The sequence below is a fragment of the Homo sapiens genome, chromosome 3 (assembly GCF_000001405.40).
Source record: "Homo sapiens chromosome 3, GRCh38.p14 Primary Assembly".
Classification (NCBI taxonomy): domain Eukaryota; kingdom Metazoa; phylum Chordata; class Mammalia; order Primates; family Hominidae; genus Homo; species Homo sapiens.
In genome coordinates this window covers 138571706-138594930 of record NC_000003.12, presented here as the reverse complement: position 1 = coordinate 138594930, position 23225 = coordinate 138571706, and the positions used below count along the sequence as shown (strand labels likewise).

General features: G+C 40.3%; 1 protein-coding gene across 20 annotated transcripts in view, besides 1 other annotated feature; it reads left to right on the top strand.

The window, feature by feature from the left end:
• Positions 407-466: an enhancer, noted in NCBI's record as "active region_20603". NCBI's record gives its function as "activates an Ori minimal core promoter by ATAC-STARR-seq in GM12878 lymphoblastoid cells {active_cell/tissue: GM12878}" and the evidence as "EXISTENCE:reporter gene assay evidence [ECO:0000049][PMID:35858748]".
• CEP70 (centrosomal protein 70) overlaps positions 671-23225 on the top strand; it is a 99917-nt gene continuing 77362 nt past the window's right edge. For 6 of the 20 annotated variants that reach the window (NM_001288967.2, NM_001288965.2, XM_047449022.1 and 3 more), the window contains exons 1-2: positions 671-733; positions 2975-3077. In NM_001288967.2, coding sequence (NP_001275896.1) covers positions 3069-3077 — 9 coding nt within the window. In that variant the 5' untranslated portion in view covers positions 671-733; positions 2975-3068. Of the gene's footprint in view, positions 1223-2974; positions 3078-21946; positions 22073-23225 lie in introns of those variants that run through there. The other 14 variants (NM_024491.4, NM_001320599.2, XM_017007271.2 and 11 more) reach the window with 6 other exon arrangements.

Here is a 23225-nt window from a genome sequence, read left to right as displayed (position 1 = left end):
CTGTTGCAACATTTGACTGTAACACAGACCTACATCATTTGACTGATTTGAAAAGACAAGTTGTCAACAGCGACACCATGTGGCTATAAGATACAATGACAATGGTGGACAGCTACAGCCTCAGGTAGGGCCTGACGCTTCGTCGAGATGTGGAAAATGCTGAATGGGAAGATGAACTGTCGTCAACAAATATTTATTGGGGTCCTCCAAATGTCAGCTGCTACAGTGGTCATTCAGGTCTGGAACATCGAGAACATGCTGACCCGTACCCCAGCAAGGGCTCGTAGTCGCGGCGGGGTAGGGGGCGAGAGAGAGGGCAGTCTCTGGTGGCCAGGTAACCCAGGCTTCACTTTCACCCACGGCCACAAGTATTTCTGACGTCTTCCGGGCAAATAAGCCTCCATGTAAGTGACAGGGCACCCAAGGAGTGCGTTGGAAGCGCCAGCGTGCCCGAGACCAGCACATCGCACCGACGCCTTCGTTTGCGGTAAGCCCCGCCCCCCGTAGTGAGCCAACCGGAGGGAGCGGGGCGGACCCAGCTTCCCGGAGAGGCTGGAGAGAATCGTTTGGGGGCATTCGCAGGCCAAAGAGGGGCTGGCCCTCGACGCGCTCGGGCTCGATTGGCCGCCCTCCCCCGGCGGTGGTAACGGTCGCGGAGGCGGGGCCTGACGTAGCTGATCCCAGCCTAACCTGGCCCGGCTGGCTGCTGGTGGGAGGCCGGCGACTGAGTAAGGTGAGTGGCTCTCGGGGCTCTCAGAGGCGTCGGCGTGAGCCCCTTCCCGGAGTACCCCGGACTTGACCTCACCTGGGCCTAAAAGTGGTCAGACTGACCCTTGTCGGGGAGGAGCCATCTGGGACAGGGTCGCGCCAATTAAAAATCCCTGCGTAAGGGTTTGGGGATCGGACAAAACTGCCTCCAGTCCCAGCTCCCCAGGCTTTGTGTTCTTTGGCTTCTCCTTTAATGTCTCAGCGCCTCCGATTCTTTATTTGTATACTAAAGCTGGTAATTCTTGCCTTACAAGGTGGTTGTGAGGGTTAAATGAGGCAGTAAGAGTAAAGCTTAGAATCACGTCGGGCACAGACTCGATTTAAGCTGTAGGTAATTACTCCATCCCCCAAAATCGACCCGGGCTGAAGCGCTAGTTTTGTGTCAAACAACCGCGAAGGTTGTTTGGGGAGTGAGGACTCGGAGCAGAAGGGGGCGGTTAGGCGAATAGCACAGGTGAGTATCTCTTTCTCCAGTTTATTAACCTCATTCCGGATTCAGGAGACCTCTGACTTTATACAGGGCCTAATAGGAGTTTTTCAAGGTGAAAAATGCCAGAAGGCTAAGTCACCTGTAACAGAGAGACCAATCAGAGTTTCCTTTTTTACTGCCACTTTGTTTTTCAATCAATGATATTAAACAGGCAGGGCGCAGTGGCTTACGCCTGTAATCTCAGCACTTTGGGAGGCCGAGGTGGGCGGATCCCCTGAGGTCAGGAGTTCGAGACCACCCTGGCCAACATGATGAAACCACGTCTCTACTAAAAATACAAAAATTAGCTGGGCATGGTGGTGTGCGCCTGTAATCCCAGCTACTCGGGCGGGTGAGGCAGCAGAATCGCTTGAACTCGGGAGGCGGAGGTTGCTGTGAGCCGAGATCGCGCCACTGCACTCCAGCCTGGGTGACGGAGCGAGACTCTGTCTCAAAAATATATGTATAATATATTAAACTCTGTGCAGGCATTACCCATATTGGTTTCAAGCCTCTGCATGAGTTTTGTACTTTAAATATTGCCAAGTAGACTCTGGCCTCCCCTGCCCCGCCTTTTGGGGAAGAGGTGGCTGACTTGGAGTTTTCCCTACAGCTTTTGCTTCAAAGCAAGGTTCTGCCCCTTCATGTCACCTCTCCTGAGACAGAATGATTTGGTTGAGATGACATTCCATTTTAACTCTTTCCTATTTGGGGTAAGTTCAGCTCTTTCTTAGGAACATTAAACAGCAAGTTGCAATATTTTTAGAATAGAGCTTTTGCATTTAATAAGGAATAGAGACTTCGAAAGGGTTACATGTTCATTTATTGCAGTAATTTGAAGTATATACTTTTGAAGATGCTTACAGATTTTGGTGTGATTCAGTTGAGAAGGAACAGTTATTGGCCATGGTTTATTGTCAGCTCCCCTCCCCCACCCCAAATGGTGAAAAAAATAATTAAATTTTAAGATATGGAGCATGTTACAAGGGGCTTCAGACCTATAAAGGGCAATTTGGCTGAAAGACTCGGGAAACCTAGAAAGTGCCAGAAGATGCAATTATGTTTTTGCTTTTCTATGCTTGGCTTACTATGCCATGTACAAATCAACTCCTACCCTCCGACTCCTACCCCCCGACTCCTACCCCCAACAATCTTATTTTAAGTGTGTTATGACAGTAATTAAAGCTGTAGCTTCTGTTTTGGCCCTAGAAAGCATTTGGTCTCTTCCTGTGACTTTAAAGTTCCAGACCTTTGTCCTGTCACAGCCTGTAGTGGGGAAAAGGCTGCTGCAAACTATTGGCCCGTTTATTTCACAGAATGGTCCTCTGAAAAGGAGGGCTTGGTCACAGGTGCAAATGAGGAGTAGTTTTGTTCCTGTGTTTGCTTTTGTGATCAGTGGTAGTTTGTCTGAGGATGCTTCATTTTAGTATCCTTGCAAATGAGAATATCCTACCTGTGGAGCCAGAAGTCAGAATTGATGATAGATGATGATAGATTTGGATACCCAGCTAAATGTCTTAACAAGGTAGGGAGAGGAAAGATAAGAAGGAGAGAGAAGAGAAGGGAAGAGGCATATGATGGTGAGCTGGGAAGGCCATTAGCAGTTATTTCAGTTGTGCCTGCTTTATCTGTGATTACCAGTACCTTGGATGCCTGCTCTGGGAGTAACACAAGACCATTCTTACTAGGAGGTTGAACATTTCAAGATTTTGTTCTTTTTATCTTTTTGAAACCTAGATGAAGATCCAGTTTCAGACATGAGACTCGTTGGGTGATCATTTCATTGAGATCAACCTGAATGACCAGGTGTAAAGTGCAAGAGTAATATGCTATGACTGAGGTATGTCTAATGTAACGGATGACTCCAGATGTTGGGAGGCCATGGAAAAAAATCTAATATTTATTGAGTACTATACTAGGTTCATTACATATATTTCCTTTTGACTTCCTGATAATCCTATCAGGTAGATATTTTACAACTCAGCAAAGAAGCTGAAGCTCAGAGAGGTTAAATACCTACTTAAGATAACACAGAAAGCTGATCACCAACTCTAATCACAGTCTCCATCCTGCTGTGTGCCAGACAATGCTTTATGTTCTTTCTATATTAACTCTTCTAATCTTTAACTCGTGAGCTGAGTACTTTTATTATCCTTATTTTATGATGAGGAAATTGAAGCACACAGAGATTAGTACTGTACTCTCCTGGCTGTGTGGCAGAATCCATGATTTGAACCCAGGCAGTCTGGCTACAGAGCTCTGCAGGTTGAGTATCCCTTACCTGCAATGCTTGGAACTATGTTTTGGACTTTTAGATTAAAAAAAAAATTGGAATATTTGTATATACATGAGGTATCTTGTTTAGAGTTGGGTAACTCTAAACACAAAATTCATTTATTGTTTCATATACAGCTTATACACACAGCCTGAAGCTAATTTTATACATTTTTAATAGTTTTATGCATGAAATGAAGTTGTGACTGTGACCTGTCACATAAGGTCAGGTGTGGAATTTTCTACTTGTGGTGTCAAGTTGGTGCTCAAAAAGTTTTGGATTTTGGAGCATTTTGGATTTCAAATATTCATATTAGGAACGTTCAACCCGTACCAGCTTTATTTTGGTTAGGTTAGCATTTCCTTTACTTTTCTATTTTTTGTTATTTAACAAAATCTTTTTAGCGTAAAATGAAATTTTTGTTATAAATCACATACCAAATGTATAGCTTAATAAATTATTACAGGACCATACCATTCAGGTATGCCAGATCCCCTCCATTACCCTATCCCAGTCAAAACTCCTGTGTTCCCATTTAGTCACCATTCTTCTGGGTTTTATAGTTTTGTAGTAATCACTTCCCTGTTTTTTTTTTATTATTTATTTATGAGATAGAGTCTCATTCTGTTGTCCAGGCTGGAGTGCAGTGGCACGATCTCAGCTGTCTGCAACCTCTGTCTCCTGGGTTCAAGTGATTCTCCTGCCTCAGCCTCCTAAGTAGCTGGGATTATAGGCACACACCACCAGGATCGGCTATTTTTTTTTTTTTTTTAGTATTTTTAGTAGAAACGGGGTATCACCATGTTGGCCAAGCTGCACTGTGAGCCTGGCCTCCTAGTTTTTGATAGCTTCCTTGTTATATAATATATTGAACAATTCCTATCGCAGATATGAAATCAGCCATTTCTTTAAAATGCCCGGGTTTCATTTAGAGGGAAATAATATTTCAGTTACAGTCTGAATGCTAAAGATCCTGAGTTAGTCACTGTTTCAGGCATTTCAGTAGACAGAGCTAGGATACCTGTATCTGTCTATAGACACACATGTTAAAAGATACCTAATGTATTCTACTTCCAGTCTTCAGATTGAGATTACAGAGCTTTTACTTAACAACTTCTCTATCACAACTGTAACTCCTTTTTTCCATACTGAGAATCATGATTCTCAAGAATATAGGAGAAAATAGAATATTCCATATTTACTCATTATTCTGTATTATACATATGACAGTATCAGAACTATATTTCTGAAATCACCATCAATATGATTACTGAAAACATTAAACCTTTTTTTTTTGGCTTATGTTCTTCTCATTTTTTCTTCTCTCTCTGTTTTAACAGTTATGCTCTATCTGCATTGTCAGAGTATATAGCCATTTCATGTTCTGCTTTTTCCCTCTTAGCCTATTAGTTCTATTAATATATTTAATGTTTACCACCAGTGTTTATGCTGAGGTCTCTCTAGGCATTTTGGCTACCTGAAGCTAATACATTGTTAGATTCCTCGGGAAGTAATATTGTCTGAGTTCTTATATATTGATCAAAGTTTATTCTTTTTATACTTCAAAGTCAATTTTGCAGATATAAAGTCTTTGGCTCACACTTCTTTTCCGTGAATTTCTTAAATACATTACTCCTTTTTCTTCTGGAATAAAGTATTGGTATCAAAGTCAGATTATTATCTAATTTTTCTTCTTCTTATAAGTCATGTGGGTTTTTTTCTTGTAGATAACCAAATAATTTGTTTTCTTTTTTTCTTTTTGAGATACAGTCTTACTCTGTCACCCTGGCTGTAGTGCAGTGGTATGATCTTGGCTCACTGCAGCCTCCACCTCCTGGGTTCAAGCAGTCCTCCCACCTCAGCCTCCTGAGTAGCTAGGACTACAGGTGTATGCTGCCACACCCAGCTAATTTTTTTTTTTTTTTTTCTTGAGAGACAGGGTTTTGCCAAGTTGCCCAGGCTGGTCATGAACCCAGGCTCAAGTGATCCACCTGCCTCAGGCTTCCAAAGTGCTGAGATTACAGGCATGAGCCACTACGCCCAGCCAAATTTTTTCTTTTTCATTAAAGTCTGCTAATAATATTAGAATATATCACTGTGTTGGTTGTTTTGGGTCAGTATTCTCAGGTACTTCATATTTTCTTTCCATTTGTAGTTTCAAATCTTTTTTTAAATTTCAGGAAAACTTTATTTTTAAAACAGCTTTATTGATATATTTAATATACAATAAGCTGCACATATGTAGTATAAGTTTTGACTTACATATACACCTATGAAACCACCCCAATCAGGATTGTCAATATATCCATCATCCCCCCAAATTCCCTTGTTCTCGTTAGTAGTCTCTGTGTCTAGCCTCCAATTCTCTCAGCAACCACTGATCTGCTTTCTATCACCACAGTTGGTTTTCATTTTCTAGAGTTTTATATAAATGGAATGTTATAGTATGTACTATTTTATGGCTGGCTTTCAGCGTAATTATTTTGACATTTATCCATGTTGCACATATTCTTTTTTATTGCTGAGGGGTATTCCATCCAATGGGTATACCACAGTTTGTGTGTCTGTTCACCTGCTGCTGGACATTTGAGTTGTTTCCAGTTTCTGGCTATTATAGATAAAGCTCTTACGAACATTTGTGTACAGTCTTTGTGTGGACATAATGCTTTCATTTCTCTTGGGTAAATTCTAGGAATGGCATGACTGGGTCTTATGGTAAGTGCTTATTAACCTTTTAAGAAATAGCCAAAGTGATTTACAAAGTGGTTGTACTAGTTTAAATTCCCGTCGGCAGTATATGAGAGTTCTAGTTCCCTCACATCCTCGAAAACACTTGGTCTAGTCATTCTTAGCCATTCTAATATGTGTAGTGGTGTCACATCGTGTGTTTTAATTTGCATTTCCCTCCTGACTAACAATGTTTAGCATCTTTTTGTGTGCCTAGCTGCCATCTGTATGTCTTCTTTTGTGAAATGTCTATTGAAATTTTTTGACCATTTTTAAGTTCAGTTGTTTACTTCTTGTTGATGTTAACTTCCTTACTAAGTTTTGAGAGTTCCCTATATATTCTGGATATGAACCTTTTCTGATTCCTGACTATTTTCTCTGAGTATGTGGTTTCTCTTTTCATTCTCAGAATGTTATATTTTAAAGAGCAGACATTATTTTTATGAAGCCCCATTTGTTCTTGAATTGTATCATGCTTTTGGTGTCATATCATAGACATGTTTGCCTAACTCAAGGCCATACAGTTTTTCTGTGTTTTTCTAGACATGTTGTGATTTTAAGTTTTAGATTTATGTCATTCATTTTAATTTTTTTGTATATGGTGTGAGATATGGCTGAAAGTCCTGTTTCTTTCTCTTTTTTTTGTACATGGGCATCCCATTGTTCTAGCATCATTTATTGAAAAAAAAAAACTATCGTTTTTCCTGCTAAATTACCTTCGTATCTTTGGTGAAAATTAGTTGTCCATATATGTATGAGTCTGTTTCTGGAATCTATTTAGTTTCATTAATCTGTTTGTCTATCTTGATATCAATGCTATATTGTCTTGATTACTATAGCTTTATAAACCTTGAAATGATATAGTATTAGTCCTTCAACTTTGTTCTTCTTTTTCATTCATTCATTTATTAATTTAGAGATAGGGTCTTGCTTTGTCACCCAGCCTAGAGTGCAGTGGCACAATCATAGCTCACTGATTAAACTCCTGGGTTCAAGTTGTCTTCCCACCTCAGCCACCTAAGTAGCGAGGACTACAGGTTCATGCCACAATGCCTGGCTAATCTTTTTTTTGTAGAGATGGGGTCTTGCTATGTTGCCCAGTCTGGTCTTGAATTCCTGGGCCTCAAGCTGTCCTCCTGCCTCAGCCTCCCAGAGTGCTGGGATTACAGGTGTGAGCCACCATGGCCAGCCTGTTCTTTTTCAAAGTTGTTTTGTCTTTTATAGATCTTTTGCAGCTCTGTATGAATTTTAAAATCAGGAAAGTTTCCTGAATTATAGTTTTTTTAATTGGTTCTGTTGTTTTAGTTTTCTTTTTCAATTACCACTATTATGTGTATGTTTGAGCTTCTTTGCCTATCTTTGTCATTTTCATATTTCTTCTTCATTTCTTTTTAATTTTTTAAAATTGTTTTCCTTTTAATCTCTATTTCTCTTAAGGCATTGTCTGTAGTCTTTACTCATTCATTTTCCTTCTTTAATCTTCATTTCAGAAATAATTAGTTTTTAAAAGTTACTAATTTCTAGATTCTATCAGCTCATTTCCAAGTTTTATTTCTAATTATGTTGTTTATGTCTTACAGAGTTTTACATGTATTTTAGTTTGTTTTAATATAGAGGTTATAGTTCCTATCTGTTTTGTGAGCACGTCTTTCTAGTATATTTTTCTTGTCTGTAGAGATTTTTTTTAATATGAACTTTTACAATTTAAAATTTTTTTAATTTCATGGGTGCACAGATGTGTATGTTTATGGGTTACATGGGATATTTTGATACACCATATAATATATAATAATCATATCAGGGTAAATGAGGTAGCCACCATCTTAAGCATTTATCCTTTGTGTTAGAAACAATCCAATTATTCTCTTTTAGTTACTTAAAAGTGTGCAATTATATTATTATTGAATATAGTCAACCCATTGTGCTAGCAAATATTAGATCTTATTCTTTTTTTCTATTTTTTTGTACCCATTGACCATCCCCTCTTCCTTTCAGCCCACCTGTTACTCTTCCCAGCCTTTGGTAACCATCCTTCTACTCTGTGTCTCCATGAGTTCAATTGTTTTGATTTTTGGATCCCACAAATAAATGAGAACATGTGATGTTTGTCTTTCTGTGCCTGGCTTATTTCACTTAAAATAATGACTTCCAGTTCCATCCATGTTGTTGCAAATGACAGGAGCTCATTCTTTTTTTATGGCTGAGTAGTACTCCATTATGTATATGTACCAGATTTTCTTTATCCATTTGTCTGTCAGTGGACACTTGGGTTGCTTCCAAATCTTGGCTTTTGTGAATAATGCTGCAGTAAACATGAGAGTGCAGATATCTCTTTAATATGCTGATTTCCTACCAAAAATATAAAAAATTGGCCAGTGTGGTGGCATGTGCCTATAATCCCAGCTACTCAGGAGGCTGAGGCAGGAGAATCGCTTGAACCTGGGAGGCAGAGGTTGCAGTGAGCCGAGATTGTGCCACTGCACTCCAGCCTGGGCGACAGAGTGAGACTCAAAAAAAAAAAGTTGTTTCAGATCCTTATACATCCTGGCTATTAACCCTCGTCAGATGGGTAGTTTACAAATATTTTCTCCCATTCTGTGGGTTGTCTCTTCACTTTGTTGTTTCCTTTGCCGTGCAGAAGCTTTTTAACTCAATGTGACCCCACCTGTCTATTTTTGCTTTGGTTGCCTGTGCTTGTGGTATATTACTCAAGAAATCTTTGCCCAATCCAATGTCCTGGAGAGTTTCCCCAATTTTTTTGTAGTACTTTCATAGTTTGAGGGCTTAGATTTAAGTCTTGATTCATTTTTATTTGATTTTTGTATATGGTGAGAGATAGGGGTCTAGTTCCATTCTTCTGCATATGGATATCCCAGCACCATTCATTGAAGAGACTTTTCTTTCCCCAATGTATGTTCTTGGCACCTTTGTCAATAATGAGTTCACTGTCAGTATGTGGATTTGTTTCTGGGTTTTCTGTTCTGTTCCATTGGTCTATGTGTCTGTTTTGGTGGCAGTAGTATGCTGTTTTAGTTAATATAGCTCTGCAATATAATTTGAAGTCAGTTAATGTGATTCCTCCAGTTTTATTCTTTTTGCTCAGGATAGCTTTGGCTATTCTGGGTCTTTTGTGCTTTAAATTTTAGGATTATTTTGTCTATTTCTGTGAAGAATGTCATTGGTATTTTGCTAGGCATTTGCATTGAATCTGTAGATTGCTTTGAGTAATATAGATATTTTAACAATATTGATTGTTTCAATCTATGAACATGGAATATCTTTTCATTTTTTTGTGGCCTCTTCAATTTCTGTCATCAGTATTTTATAATTTTCATTGTAGAGATGTTTTACTTCATTGGTTCAGTTAATTCCTAGGTGTTTAATTTTCTTTGTGGCTATTGTAAATGGGATTACTGTTTTGATTTCTTTTTCAGATTGTCCTTGTTGGTTTATAGAAATGCTACTGATTTTTCTAAGCTGATTTTGTGTCTTGCAGCTTTACTGAATTTGTTTACCAGTTCAAATAGCTTTTTGGTGGAGTCTTCAGGTTTTTCCAAATATAAGATCATGTCACCTGCAAACAAGGATAATTTGATTTCAAATTTTGATGGCCTTTTTTTCCTTTCTCATGTCTAACTGCTAGCTAGAGCAATTCCAGTCCTTTTTCATCTCTAGCTAGAGCAATTCTAGTCCTAACTACAGCAATTCCAGTCCTTTTTCATCTCTGATTTTATTTGAATCTTTTTTCCTTTCTTCCTTCATAGTCTGGCTAAAGGTTTGTCAATTTTTTATCCTTGTTCTGTTCTAGATCTTAGAGGAAAGGCTTTCAGTTTTTCCCGATTCAGTGTGATACTGCCTGTGGGTCTGTCATACATGGCTTTTATTATGTGGAGGTATGTTCCTTTTATACCTAGTTTTTTTAGGGTTTTTTTTTTAAATCATGAAGGAATGTTGAATTTTATCAAGTGCTTTTTCAGTATCAGTTGAAACGATCATATGGTTTTTGTCTTTCAGTCTGTTGATAATGATGTATCACATTGATTGATTTGCATATGTTGAATCATCCTTTCATCCCTGGGATAAATCCCACTTGTTGATGATGAATGATCTTTTTAATGTGTTGTTGAATTTGGTTTGCTAGTATTTTGTTGAAGATTTTTGCATCAATATTAATCAGGGATATTGGCCTGTAGGTTTTTCTCTCTCTCTCTCTTTTTTTTTTTTTTTTTTGATATGTCTTTGTCTGGTTTTGGTATCAGGGTAATACTGGCCTCATAGAATGAGTTTGGATGTATTCCCTCCTCTTCCATTCTTCAGAATAGTTTGAGTAGGGTTGGTGTTAATTCTTTAAATGTTTGGTAGAATTCAGCAGTGAAGCCATGGAGTCCGAGGCTTTTCTTTGCTGGAGGACTTTTTATTATAGCTTCAATGTTGTTAGTTGTTATTGGTCTGTTCAGGTTTTGGATTTCTTTATGGTTCAATCTTAGTAGGTTGTTTGTGTCTAGGAATTTATCCATTTCTTCTAGATTTTCTAGTTTATTGGTATATAGTTGCTCCTAGTAGGCTCTAATGATCCTTTGTATTTCTGCAGTATTGGTTGTAATGTCTCCTTTTTCATCTCTGATTTTGAATCTTTTCTCTTTTTTCTTCATTAGTCTGGCTAAGGGTTTATCAGTTTTCTACATCTTTTCAAAAAACCAACTTTTTGTTTTATTGTTCTTATGTCTTATTTGTTTCAATTTCATTATTTCTGCTGTAATCTTTATTATTTCTTCTACTTTCAGTTTGGTTTGCTCTGCTTTTCTAGTTCTAGTTCATTAGGTTGTTTATTTGAAGTTTTTCTTTTCATGTAGGCACTTAAAGCTATAAATTTCTCTCAGTACTGTTTTCACTGTATCCCATAGGTTTTGGTATGTTCTGTTTCCATTATCATTTGTTTCAAGACATTTTTCAGTTTCCTTCTTAATCTCTTCATTGACCCACTGATGATTCAGGAGCCTATTGATTAATTTTCATATGTTTGAATAGTTTCCAAAATTCCTCCTGTTAACTGATTTCTAGTTTTATTCCATTGTGGTCAGAGAAGATACTTTATATTATTCCAGTTTGTTTTTAATGTTTTAACACTTGTTTTGTGGCCTAACATATGGTCCATCCTTGGGAATGATCCATGTGCTGAGGAGAAGAATGTGTATTCTTCAGCCATTGGATGAAACGTCTGTAAATATCTGTTAGGTCCATTTGTTCTATAGTGCAGATTAAGTCAGATGATTCTTTGTTGATTTTATGTCTGGATGATCTGTCTGATGAAAGGGTGGTGTTGAAGTCTTCAACTATTATTGAATTGAGATTTATCTCTCGAGCTCTAATAATATTTGCTTTATATATCAGGGTACTCCAATGTTGGGTGTATAATATTTACAATTGTTACATACTCTTGCTGAATTGACCTGTTTATCATTATATAATGACCTTGTTTGTCTCTTCTTACAGTTTTTGTCTTAAAATCTCTTTTGTCTGATATAAGTATAGCTACTCCTGCTATACTGGATTCATTGGCATGTAATATCCTTTTCCATTTCTTAATTTTCAGTCTATATGTGTCTTTATAGGTGAAGTGTATTTCAGTTCGGCCACTCTAGTGTTTTGATTGTGAGTTTAGTCCATTTATGTTCAATGTTATTGACAAATAGGGACTTACTACTGTCATTTTGTTGTTTTCTGGTTGTTTTGTGGTCTTCTCTTCTTTTTTCCTTCTTTCCTATCTTTTTTTAGTGAAGGTGATTTTTCTTAGGTGGTATGTTTTAATTTCTTGCTTCTTATTTTTTGTGTATCCATTGTATGTTTTTGGATGTAAGGTCACCATGAGGCTTGAAAATACTATCTTATAATCCATTATCTTATTTATTTATTTATTTTTATTTTTTTGAGATGGAGTCTAGTTCTGTCACCCAGGCTGGAGTGCAGTGGCATGATTATGGCTCACTGAAACCTCTGGCTTCTGAGTTCAAGTGATTCTCCTGCCTCAGCCTCCCGAGTAGCTGGGACTACAGGCACACGCCACCAGAGAATTTTTGTATTTTTAGTAGAGATGGGGTTTCACTATGTTGGCCAGGCTGATCTTGAACATGACCTTGTGATCTGCCCGCCTCAGCCTCCCAAAGTGCTGGGATTAAAGGCCACCATGCCTGGCTCATTATTTTTTATTTTTTAATTTTTTGAGATGGAGTCTCGCTCTGTCACCCAGGCTGGAGTTCAGTGGCGCTATCTTGGCTCACTGCAGCCTCCACCTCCCAGGTTCAAGCGATTCTCCTGCCTCAGCCTCCCGAGTAGCTGGGACTATGGGCATGTGCCACCACGCCTGGCTAATTTTTGTATTTTTAGTAGAGACAGGGTTTCACCATCTTGGCCAGGCTGGTCTTGAACTCCTGACCTCGTGATCCACCCATCTCGGCCTCCCAAAGTGCTGAGATTACAGGCATGAGCCACTGTGCCCAGACTCTGTGTACTTTTGATTACCCGTGAGTTTTGTACCTTCAAATAATTTCTGCTCATTAACGTCGTTTTCTTTCAGATTAAAAAAACTCCCTTTAGCATTTCTTGTAGGCCAGGTCTGGTGTTGATGAAATTCCTCAGCTTTTGTTTGTCTGGGAACAAACTTATTGCTCATTCATGTTTGACGTATTCTAGGGTAAAAGTTTTTTTTGCTTCAGCATTTTAAATATGTCATGCCACTCTTGGCCTATACGGAGCTCCATTGTATATTATTTGTTTCTTTTCTCTTTCTGCTTACAGAATTTTTTTTTTCTTGACCTTGGGAGCTTATTAATGCCTTGAGGTAGTCTCCTTGGGTTAAATCGGCTTAGTTTTCTACAGCTTTCTTGTACTTGAATATTGATATCTTTCTGTGGGTTTAGGAAGTTCTCTGTTATCCCTCTGAATACACTTTCTTTCTTTCCTTTTTCTTTTCTTATTCTTTTTTTTTTTTTTTTTTTTTGAGACAAGTTTCACTCTTGTCACCCTGACTCAGGTGCGATCTCGGGTCACTGCAACCTTTACCTCCCAGGTTCAGGCGATTCTTGTGCCTCAGTCTCCCGCATACCTGGGATTACATGCGTGTGCCACTGCACCTGGCTAATTTTGTATTTTTAGTAGAGACAGGGTTTCACCACGTTGGCCAGGCTGGTCTTGAACTCCTGACTACAGGTGATCCACCCACCTTCACCTCTCAAAGTGCTGAGATTACAGGCATGAGCCACTGCGCCCGGCCTGAATAAACTTTCTACCCCTATCTCTTTCTACTTCCTCTTTAAGGCCAATAACTCTTAGATTTGCCCTTTTGAAGCTTATTGTCTAGATCTTATAGGCATGATTCATTCTTTTTTCTTTTCTTTCTTTTTTTTTTTTTTTGAGATGGAGTCTCACTGTGTCGCCCAGTCTGGAGTGCAGTGGCGGGATCTCGGCTCACTGCAACCTCCATCTCCTGGGTTCAAGCGATTCTGCCTCAGCCTCCCGAGTAGCTGGGATTACTGGCACACGCCACCATGCCCAGCTAATTTTTGTATTTTTAGTAGAGATGGGGTTTTACCATATTGGTCAGCCTGGTCTCGAACTCCTGACCTTAGGTGATCCACCTGCCTTGGCCTCCCAGAGTGTTGGGATTACAGGCATGAGCCACCATGCCCGGCCTGTTTTTTATTCTTTTTTCTCTTGTCTCCTCTGACCGTGTATTTTCAAATAGCCTGTGTTCAGGCTCACTGATTCTTCTGCTTGATCAATTATGCTATGAAGAGGCTCTGATGCATTCTTCATTATGTCAGTTGCATTTCTCACACTCAGAATTTCTGCTTGACTTTAAAAAATTATTTCAGTTTCTTTGTTAAATTTGTCTAATAGGATCCTGAATTCCTTATCTGTGTCATCTTGAATTTCTTTGAGTTTCCTCAAAACAGCTATTTTGAATTCTATCTGAAAGGTCACATATCTCTGTCTGTCTGGGATTGGTCCCTTGTGTCTTATTTAGTTTGGTGAGGTCATGTTCTCCTGGATGGGCTTGATACTTGTAGATGTTTGTTGGTGTCTGGGCATTGAAGAATTAGGTATTTATTGTAGTCTTTGTAGTCTGGGCTTGTTTGTACCCATCCTTCTTGGGAAGACTTTCCAGTGACTTGAGTGTTGTGATCTCAGTTTTTGGTCACTGCAGCTATATATCTGAGTTACAGGATACCCCAAGCTCAGTAAAGCTGTGGTTTTTGCAGACTTACAGAGTTGCCACCTTGCTGGTCTTGGACAAGATCTGGAATAATTCTTTGGATTACCAGGCAGAGACTCTTGTCTTCCCTTGCTTTCTCTGAAACAAATGGAGTCTCTCTGTGCTGAGCTGCCTGGAATTGGGGGAGGGGTGACACAGGCATCCCTGTGGCCGGCCCTACTGGGACTGTACTTGGTCTGGCCAGGGCCTGGAATCAGAATCCTTGGAAACCTACCTGGTGCTCTATTCTACTGAGGCTGAGCTGGTGCCACAACCATGAGAAAAGGTTCTTCCCATTTTTCCCTCCCCTTTCCCCAGGCAGAGAAGGCTCCACTTGTCTACCGCCACCACAGACCCATGGGGAGTACTGCCAGGGTACCGCCTAGGTTCACTTAAGGCCCAAGGCTCTTTAGTCAGCTGGTGAATGCTACCAGGCCTGGGACTCACCTTTCAGGGCAGTGGCTTCTCCTCTGGCCCAGAGTAGGTCCAGAGAAGCTAAGAGCCAAAGCCTGGAATTGGGAACCCCAAGAGCTTTCTTAATGCTCTTCCCCAGTTGGGCCAAGTTGGTATCTAAGCTCAAGAAAGTCTTCTTTACTCTTCCGTCTACTTTTCTCAAGCAGAAGGGGTCTGTCCTCATAGCCACCACAGCTGTGAATGTGCTGGATCACAGCTGAAGCCAGCATGTCTGAGTCTCACCCAATGCCCATGGCATATACTACCTGGTTCCTGCTGCTGATTATTCAGTGCCCAAGGGCTCTTTAATCAGCAGATGATAAATCCTGCCAGGACTGGGTCCTTCCCTCCAAGGCAGTGGGCTCCTTTCTGGCCAAGGATGTGTCTAGAAATGTTGTTTGGGAGCTAGGGTCTGGAATGGGGGCCTCATAACTCTGCTCAGTGCCCTATCCTACTGTGACTGAGCTGGTATCCGAGTTGCAAGACAAAGTCCTCTTTACTCTTCCCTCTTGTCTTCTCAAGCAGAAGGAAAGGTTTACTTTTGGAACTGCAAGCTGTGCTGCCTGGGGTTGGGGGAGGGGTGATGCAAATGCTCCTTTAGTTGCCCTGGCTGTTGTCTCACTAGGTCACATGCCCCTCAAGAGCACTAGCTCTGAGCCCAGCATAGCACTAGGACTTGCCTTGGAGTTGCAGTCCTTGTGGCCTAGATAGTGTTTCAAGTTTATTTAGGACCCCAGAGCACTTTAACTCACGTTGGCAAGGCTTGCTGAAACTCAAGTTCTGACTACTGGGATGGGTGATTCCCCTCTGGCTAGGACTGGTCTAAATGATCCCTCCAGTGGGTTGAATTCTTCCTGGTGTTGTTGGTACTGCCTTTCAATGCAAAGTTCCACAGTCACTGCACTTTACTTCCCCTAAGTGCACAGATTCTCTCTCTGCGCCACATGGCTGGCCGTTACCGGGGGATTGGGGGAGAATGGTATTGGCAATTTATAAATGTCTTTCCTACCCTCTTCGGTGCCTCTTTCAGCCATATGAAGTTAAAACCAGTTACTGTGATTGCTCACCTGATTTTTGGCTCTTATGAAGGTGCTTTTTTGTAAAGATAGTTCTTAAATTTGGTGTTCCTGTTGGGAGGACAATCGGTGGAGGCTTCTGTTCAGTCATTTTGCTCCGCCTTCAATATTAACTTTTGATGGGGTTAGACCTCAGTGCTTTTCTTTGCTCACTTTTATGTAAAATTAGTTTTTCTGAACTTTTATAATGGTTGAGAGTTCAGGAAAGCTTTTCTAACATCTTGGACTTCTAATATTTTTGTGTAGTGTTTGAAAATATGGCAGTTTGTTTTCTGAGACTTCCTGCTTCTATTTTCTTCCCTATTTTGGTGTGGATCTTCCCTTCTCTCTTATCCCTATCTTGCTCAGTTTTGATTCTATTCCCAAAAGTTTCTTCTCATCATGGGCTCTGTCATGGAAATGTAACATGTCCATTTTGAGTGTTCACAGGGTTCCAGCATCTTCTGTTTTTCTTCTAGGAAAGGGTAAAACCCCTTCTGGTTTCACTTCCTGTTTCATGTTAGTGCCATAGTGAATATTAGCGATACCAATGAATTAGGGAGTTCTCTCATTCTCATAACCATCAGACACTGCCTGTAGCTTTTTTTTCTTCCAGCACAGATGCTGGTACCATGCAGCTTTTATGGCCGTTAGTGGTTTGCCCTCCCCCACTTATATTTTAGTGTTCGTGAGAATAACTTTTCACCAGCTTTTGATATAAATAGTTAGCTCTCTATATCTGCCAGTTTTGTATCCACAGATTCAACCGACTGCAGATTGAAACCTGCAGATAAGGAGGGCCAACGGTACTACACCATTTTATTGAAGGAACTTGAGCATCCATGGATTTTGGTACTTGCAGGTGGTTCTGAAACCAATCCCCATGTATAGGGAAGACCTGCTATTGCTTTTGGGTTTTTAGCTTTGCTCTCTAGTTGCTTCTGTTTTAATGTGGGATGCAGAGATGAAAAAACTAGGCTGTGGCCATGCCGTCTTCCCAGAATTGTTTCTTTATTCTCTTACTTTTAACTGCTTTAATGTTTTTATTTTAAGTGGCTTTTTAGTGTTTTAGAAGTCTTTTTTCCCTTCAACAGCATATAGCTTGATTTTTAAAAATCTAGTTTGACAGTCTCTTTTAACTGGAGCCATTCATGATTAATGTAATTACTGATATGGATTTAAATCTACCATATTGTCAAGTACCATGTGCTTTTCTCTTTGTTTTACCTCTTGTCTGCTTGTGTTTCTCTTCTTTTGGGTTTTTAAAAATTTTTTTATTTTTTCCGAGGCAGAGTCTCTCTCTGTCACCCAGGCTGGAGTGCAGTGGCACCATCTCGTCTCACTGCAACTTCCATCTCCTGGGTTCAAGTGATTCTCCTGTCTCAGCCTCTCAAGTAGCTGGGATTACAGGCATGAGCCACCACACCCGGCTAATTTTTTATATTTTTAGTAAAGATGGGGTTTTGCCATGTTGGCCAGGCTAGTCTTGATCTCCTGACTTCGTGATCTGCCCGCCTTGGCCTCCCAAAGTGCTGGGATTAGAGGCATGAGCCATTGTGCCTGACCCTTGGGTTTATTTATTTATGTATTTATTATACTTTAAGTTCTAGAGTACATGACAGCGTGCAGGTTTGTTACATATGTATACATGTGCCATGTTGGTGTGCTGCACCCATTAACTCGTCGTTTACATTAGGTACTTCTCCTAATGCTATCCCTCCCCCATCCCCCCACCCCACGACAGGCCCTGGTGTGTGATGTTCCCCTTCCTGTGTCCAAGTGTTCTCATTGTTCAGTTCCCACCTATGAGTGAGAACATGCAGTGTTTGGTTTTCTATCCTTGCGATAGTTTGCTCAGAATGATGGTTTCCAGCTTTATCCATGTCCCTACAAAGGACATGAACTCATTCTTTTTAATGGCTGCATAGTATTCCATGGTGTATATGTGCCACATTTTCTTAATCCAGTCTATCATTGATGGACATTTGGGTTGGTTCCAAGATTCTGGTATGTTGTGTCTTTGTTCTCATTGGTTTCAAAGAACATCTTTATTTCTGCCTTCATTTTGTTATTTACACAGTAGTCATTCAGGAGCAGGTTGTTCAGTTTCCATGTAGTTGTGCGGTTTTGAGTGAGTTTCTTAATCCTGAGTTCTAATTTGACTGCACTGTGGTCTGAGAGACAGTTTGTTGTGATTTCTGTTGTTTTACATTTGCTGAGGAGTGCTTTACTTCCAACTAAGTGGTCAATTTTTGAATAAGTGTGATGTGGTGCTGAGAAGAATGTATATTCTATTGATTTGGGGTGGAGAGTTCTGTAGATGTCTATTAGGTCTGCTTGGTGCAGAGCTGAGTTCAAGTCCTGGATATCCTTGTTAACCTTCTGTCTTGTTGATCTGTCTCATATTGACAGTAGGGTGTTAAAGTCTCCTATTATTATTGTGTGGGAGTCTAAGTCTCTTTGTAGGTCTCTAAGGACTTGCTTTATGAATCTGGGTGCTCCTGTATTGGGTGCGTGTATATTTAGGATAGTTAGCTCTTCTTGTTGAATTGATCCCTTTACCATTATGTAATGGTCTTCTTTATCTCTTTTGATCTTTGCTGGTTTAAAGTCTGTTTTATCAGAGACTAGGATTGCAACCCCTGCTTTTTTTTGCTTTCCATTTGCTTGGTAGATCTTCCTCCATCCCTTTATTTTGAGCCTATGTGTGTCTCTGCACATGAGATGGGTCTCCTGAATACAGCACACTGATGGGTCTTGACTCTTTATCCGATTTGCCAGTCTGTGTCTTTTAATTGGGGCATTTAGCCCATTTACATTTAAGGTTAATATTGTTATGTGTGAATCTGATCCTGTCATTATGATGTTAGTTGGTTATTTTGCCCATTAGTTGATGCAATTTCTTCCTAGCATTGATGGTCTTTACAATTTGGCATGTTTTTGCAGTGGCTGGTACTGGTTGTTCCTTTCCATGTTTAGTGCTTCCTTCAGGAGCTCTTGTAAGGCAGGCCTGGTGGTGACACAATCTCTTTGCATTTGCTTGTCTGTAAAGGATTTTATTTCTCCTTCATTTATGAAGCTTAGTTTGGCTGGATATGAAATTCTGGACTGAAAATTCTTTTCTTTAAGAATGTTGAATATTGGCCCCCACTCTCTTCTGGCTTGTAGGGTTTCGGCCAAGAGATCTGCTGTTAGTCTGATGGGCTTCCCTTTGTGGGTAACCCGAGCTTTCTCTCTGGCTGCCCTTAACATTTTTTCCTTCATTTCAACCTTGGTGAATCTGACACTTATGTGTCCTAGGGTTGCTCTTCTCGAGGAGTATCTTTGTGGTGTTCTCTGTATTTCCTGAATTTGAATGTTGGCCTGTCTTGCTAGGTTGGGGAAGTTCTCCTGGATAATATCCTGAGGAGTGTTTTCCAGCTTGGTTCCATTCCCCCCATCACTTTTGGGTACACCAAACAGACATAGATTTGGTCTTTTCACATAGTCCCATATTTCTTGGAGGCTTTGTTCATTCCTTTTTACTTTTTTCTCTAAACTTCTCTTCTCGCTTCATTTCATTAATTTGATCTTCAATCACTGATACCCTTTCTGCCACTTGATCAAATCAGCTACTGAAGCTTGTGCATGTGTCACATAGTTCTCGTGCCATGGTTTTCAGCTCCATCCGGTCATTTAAGGTCTTCTTTACACTGTTTATTCTAGTAAGCTATTCATCTAATCTTTTTTCAAGGTTTTTAGCTTCCTTGTGATGGGTTTGAACATCCTCCTTTAGCTTGGAGAAGTTTGTTATTACCGACCTTCTGAAGCCTACTTCTGTCAACTCGTCAAAGTCATTCTCCATCCAGCTTTGTTCTGTTGCTAGTGAGGAGCTGCGATCCTTTGGAGGAGAAGAGGCGCTTTGATTTTTGGAATTTTCAGCTTTTCTGCTCTGGTTTCTCCCCATCTTTGTAGTTTTATCTTCCTTTGGTCTTTGATGATGGTGACCTACAGATAGGGTTTTGGTGTGGATGTCCTTTTTGTTAATGTTGATGCTTTTCCTTTCTGTTTGTTAGTTTTCCTTCTAACAGTTAGGTCCCTCAGCTGCAGGTCTGTGGGAGTTTGCTGGAGGTCCACTCCAGACCCTGTTTGCCTGGGTATCGCCAGCAGAGGCTGCAGAACAGCAAATATTGCTGCCTGATCTTTCCTCTGAAATCTTCATCTCAGAGGGGCACCTGGCTGTATGAGGTGTCAGTCGGGCCCTACTGGGAGGTGTCTCCCAGTTAGGCTACACGGAGGTCAGGGACCCACTTGAGTAGGCAGTCTGTCCGTTCTCAGAGCTCAAACACCATGCTGGGAGAACCACTGCTGTCTTCAGAGCTGTCAGACAGGGACATTTAAGTCTGCAGAAGTTTCTGCTGCCTTTTGTTCAGCTATGCCCTGCCCCCAGAGGTGGAGTCTACAGAGGCAGGCAGGCCTCTTTGAGCTGCGGTGGGCTCTACCCAGTTCAAGCTTTCCTGCCGCTTTGTTTACCTACTCAAGCCTCAGCAATGGCAGATGCCCCTCCCTCAGCCAGGCTGCCACCTTGCAGTTCAATCTTGGACTGCTGCGCTAGCAGTGAGCAAGGCTCCATGGGCATGGGACCCACTGAGCCAGGCATGGGATATAATCTCCTGGTGTGCCACTTGCTGAGACCATTGGAAAAGCGCAGTGTTTGGGTAGCAGTGTCTGGATTTTCCTGGTACAGTCTGTCACGGCTTCCTTTGGCTAGGAATGGGTAATCTCCCTACTCTTGCACTTCCTGGGTGAGGCAATGCCCCACCCTGCTTCGGCTCGCCCTTTGTGGGCTGCACCCACTGTCCAACCAGTCCCAACGAGATGAACCAGGTACCTCAGTTGGAAACGCAGAAATCACCTGTCTTCTGCATCAGTCACACTGGGAGCTGCAGACTGAAGCCTTTCATATTTGGCCATCTTGGATGCCCTTGGGTTTATTTTTAAAAATGCATCATTATAGTCTTGTTTTTCCCCTTTACTAGTTAGAAAATTATATACTTCTGTTCAGTTCTTCAGTGGATGTCCTAGAAATTCTCAAGCATCCTTAACTTATACAAAAGCCCAGTGTTAACAGATACCTTTACCAGTGTCCACCTCCATTGTAAACAAACTTAGAACACTGTTACTCCATTTACCCTACTCTCAGCTAATATATTTCTGTTACTGTGCATTTTAATTGTACATTTTATACTTCACAAGATCTCATTATGTAGTCTGTGTTTAAACTCGCCCATTTTTTTGCTCTATTTTTTTCTACATCTCTGCTTTTCCATCAGGGAGTCTTCTGCATGAAGCAGCTTCTTTAGAATTTTTTTACAGAGCAGATGCAATGAACACTCTCAGATTTATTTTGTGTCATGTGTTTGAAAATATATTACTTTTGCCTTTATTATTCGTTAATGAATGTTTTCACTGGCTTTGGAATTTTAGATAAGCAATTATTTTCTTTCAGCACATTGAAGATATTAGTGTCTAGGTATGACTGACTTTTTTTTTCTTTTTTCTTTTTTTTTTTTACTGTATCCCAGTTGCAATATGTTGGGTTTCTAGAATGTGTGGATTTATGTCTTTCATTGATTCTCAAATTTTTCTTAGCCATTAGCTCTTCAAATGCTCCTTCTACTCCATTCTTTCCTCTGTTCTTGGGTACCAGTTATGCATTCTGTGGTGGGGGGTTAGACAGGACAGAGTGTATGTGTGTGTGTGGTATATGTGTAAAATCCCAGAATGCTTTATTTCCAGAGGAGAACATTATAAGATAGGGTTTATTCAAATGAGTCTTACAATCAGCTATCTAAGAAGTCACAAAGTTTTGACGCAGGAATGACCTGAATTGCCCTGCAAGAGTAGTGGATTCTTTTAAATATACTTTTCTTTAACTCCTTTTGCACTTTTTGTCTTTTTTCATTTAGGCAACTCAAATTTTTTAATTGCCAATTTCTGTTTCTTTTGATTCTACAAAAGTAACTATGTTTCCGGTAGCCCCTAAACCCCAGGATTCCAGTCAACCATCAGACAGACTCATGACTGAAAAACAGGTAAACTTAAAATATTTTAAGACACTGCTTCTCAAAATATGTGCCAAAGAATGCTACATCTACAAACAGGAAAATTTGACTTTAAAAGGATTCTTTCTCAAATAATTTTAGGAAATGCTGGGTTAAAGACTATGAAATGGTTTAATTACTCTAAGACTTCACAATATTAGTCTCCAAAGGGAGGATTTAGTATACAGCATTTCATACATACTTAACACTAGTTTGATGAACATTTCATTAGACTAGTGTTCTGTAGCATGTACTTTGGAAAATGCCATTCCCAACTATTTTCAGAATTTACAATTACTTTATCTTAAAATGTAAGAGGTATCAGGAAACAATATGTATAAGTTAATCATTCAAAATATGTGACTTTATTATGTATAGAGCATTTTGTTTTTATGAGTTACAGTAGAAGTTCTGAGACACTAACTCAGAGCTTTTGGCTCCTAAAACAACATCAATGTTAATTTTAGTTGTGTCTACCACGTAGTTAAACTCTGTGATCAGAAAGACTAAAGCATAAATGAGAGAAAAGTTATGAGTGGGAGGAGATGTAAAAAAAAGGAGGAAGAAGTCAACAGTCAAAAAGAAAGACTTGTTTGACTTTGAGAGTGTCTTTCAGGGTGATTCTGTTAGAGTCAGTTATCCAGATGGACGGGCTCCTTTTTATAGTTAGACCTTGTCCATTTGACAAGGAGCTGTCTGAAATATTGGCTCCAACTAGTCAGGTATGTTTTGATTTTTTTGTGACCCTAGTCATTATGAAAGTGATACTTAGGGGCTGGGGCGGTGGCTCACGCCTGTAATCTCAGCACTTTGGGAGGCCAGGGCGGGTGGATCACCAGGTCAGGAGATCCAGACCAACCTGGCTAACACGGTGAAACCCCATCTCTACTAAAAATACAAAAAATTAGCCGGGCGTGGTGGCGGGCGCCTGTAGTCCCAGCTACTCGGGAGGCTGAGGCAGGAGAATGGTGTGAACCTGGGAGGCAGAGCTTGCAGTGAGCCGAGATCGTACCGCTGCACTCCAGCCTAGGTGACAGAGCAAGACTCTGTCTCAAAAAGAAAGAAAAAAGAAAGTGATACTTAGAAGTGACTCACCTTTTCTTTTCTTTACTATCCAGTTATTATAGCCTAGTTTACAGCTGTT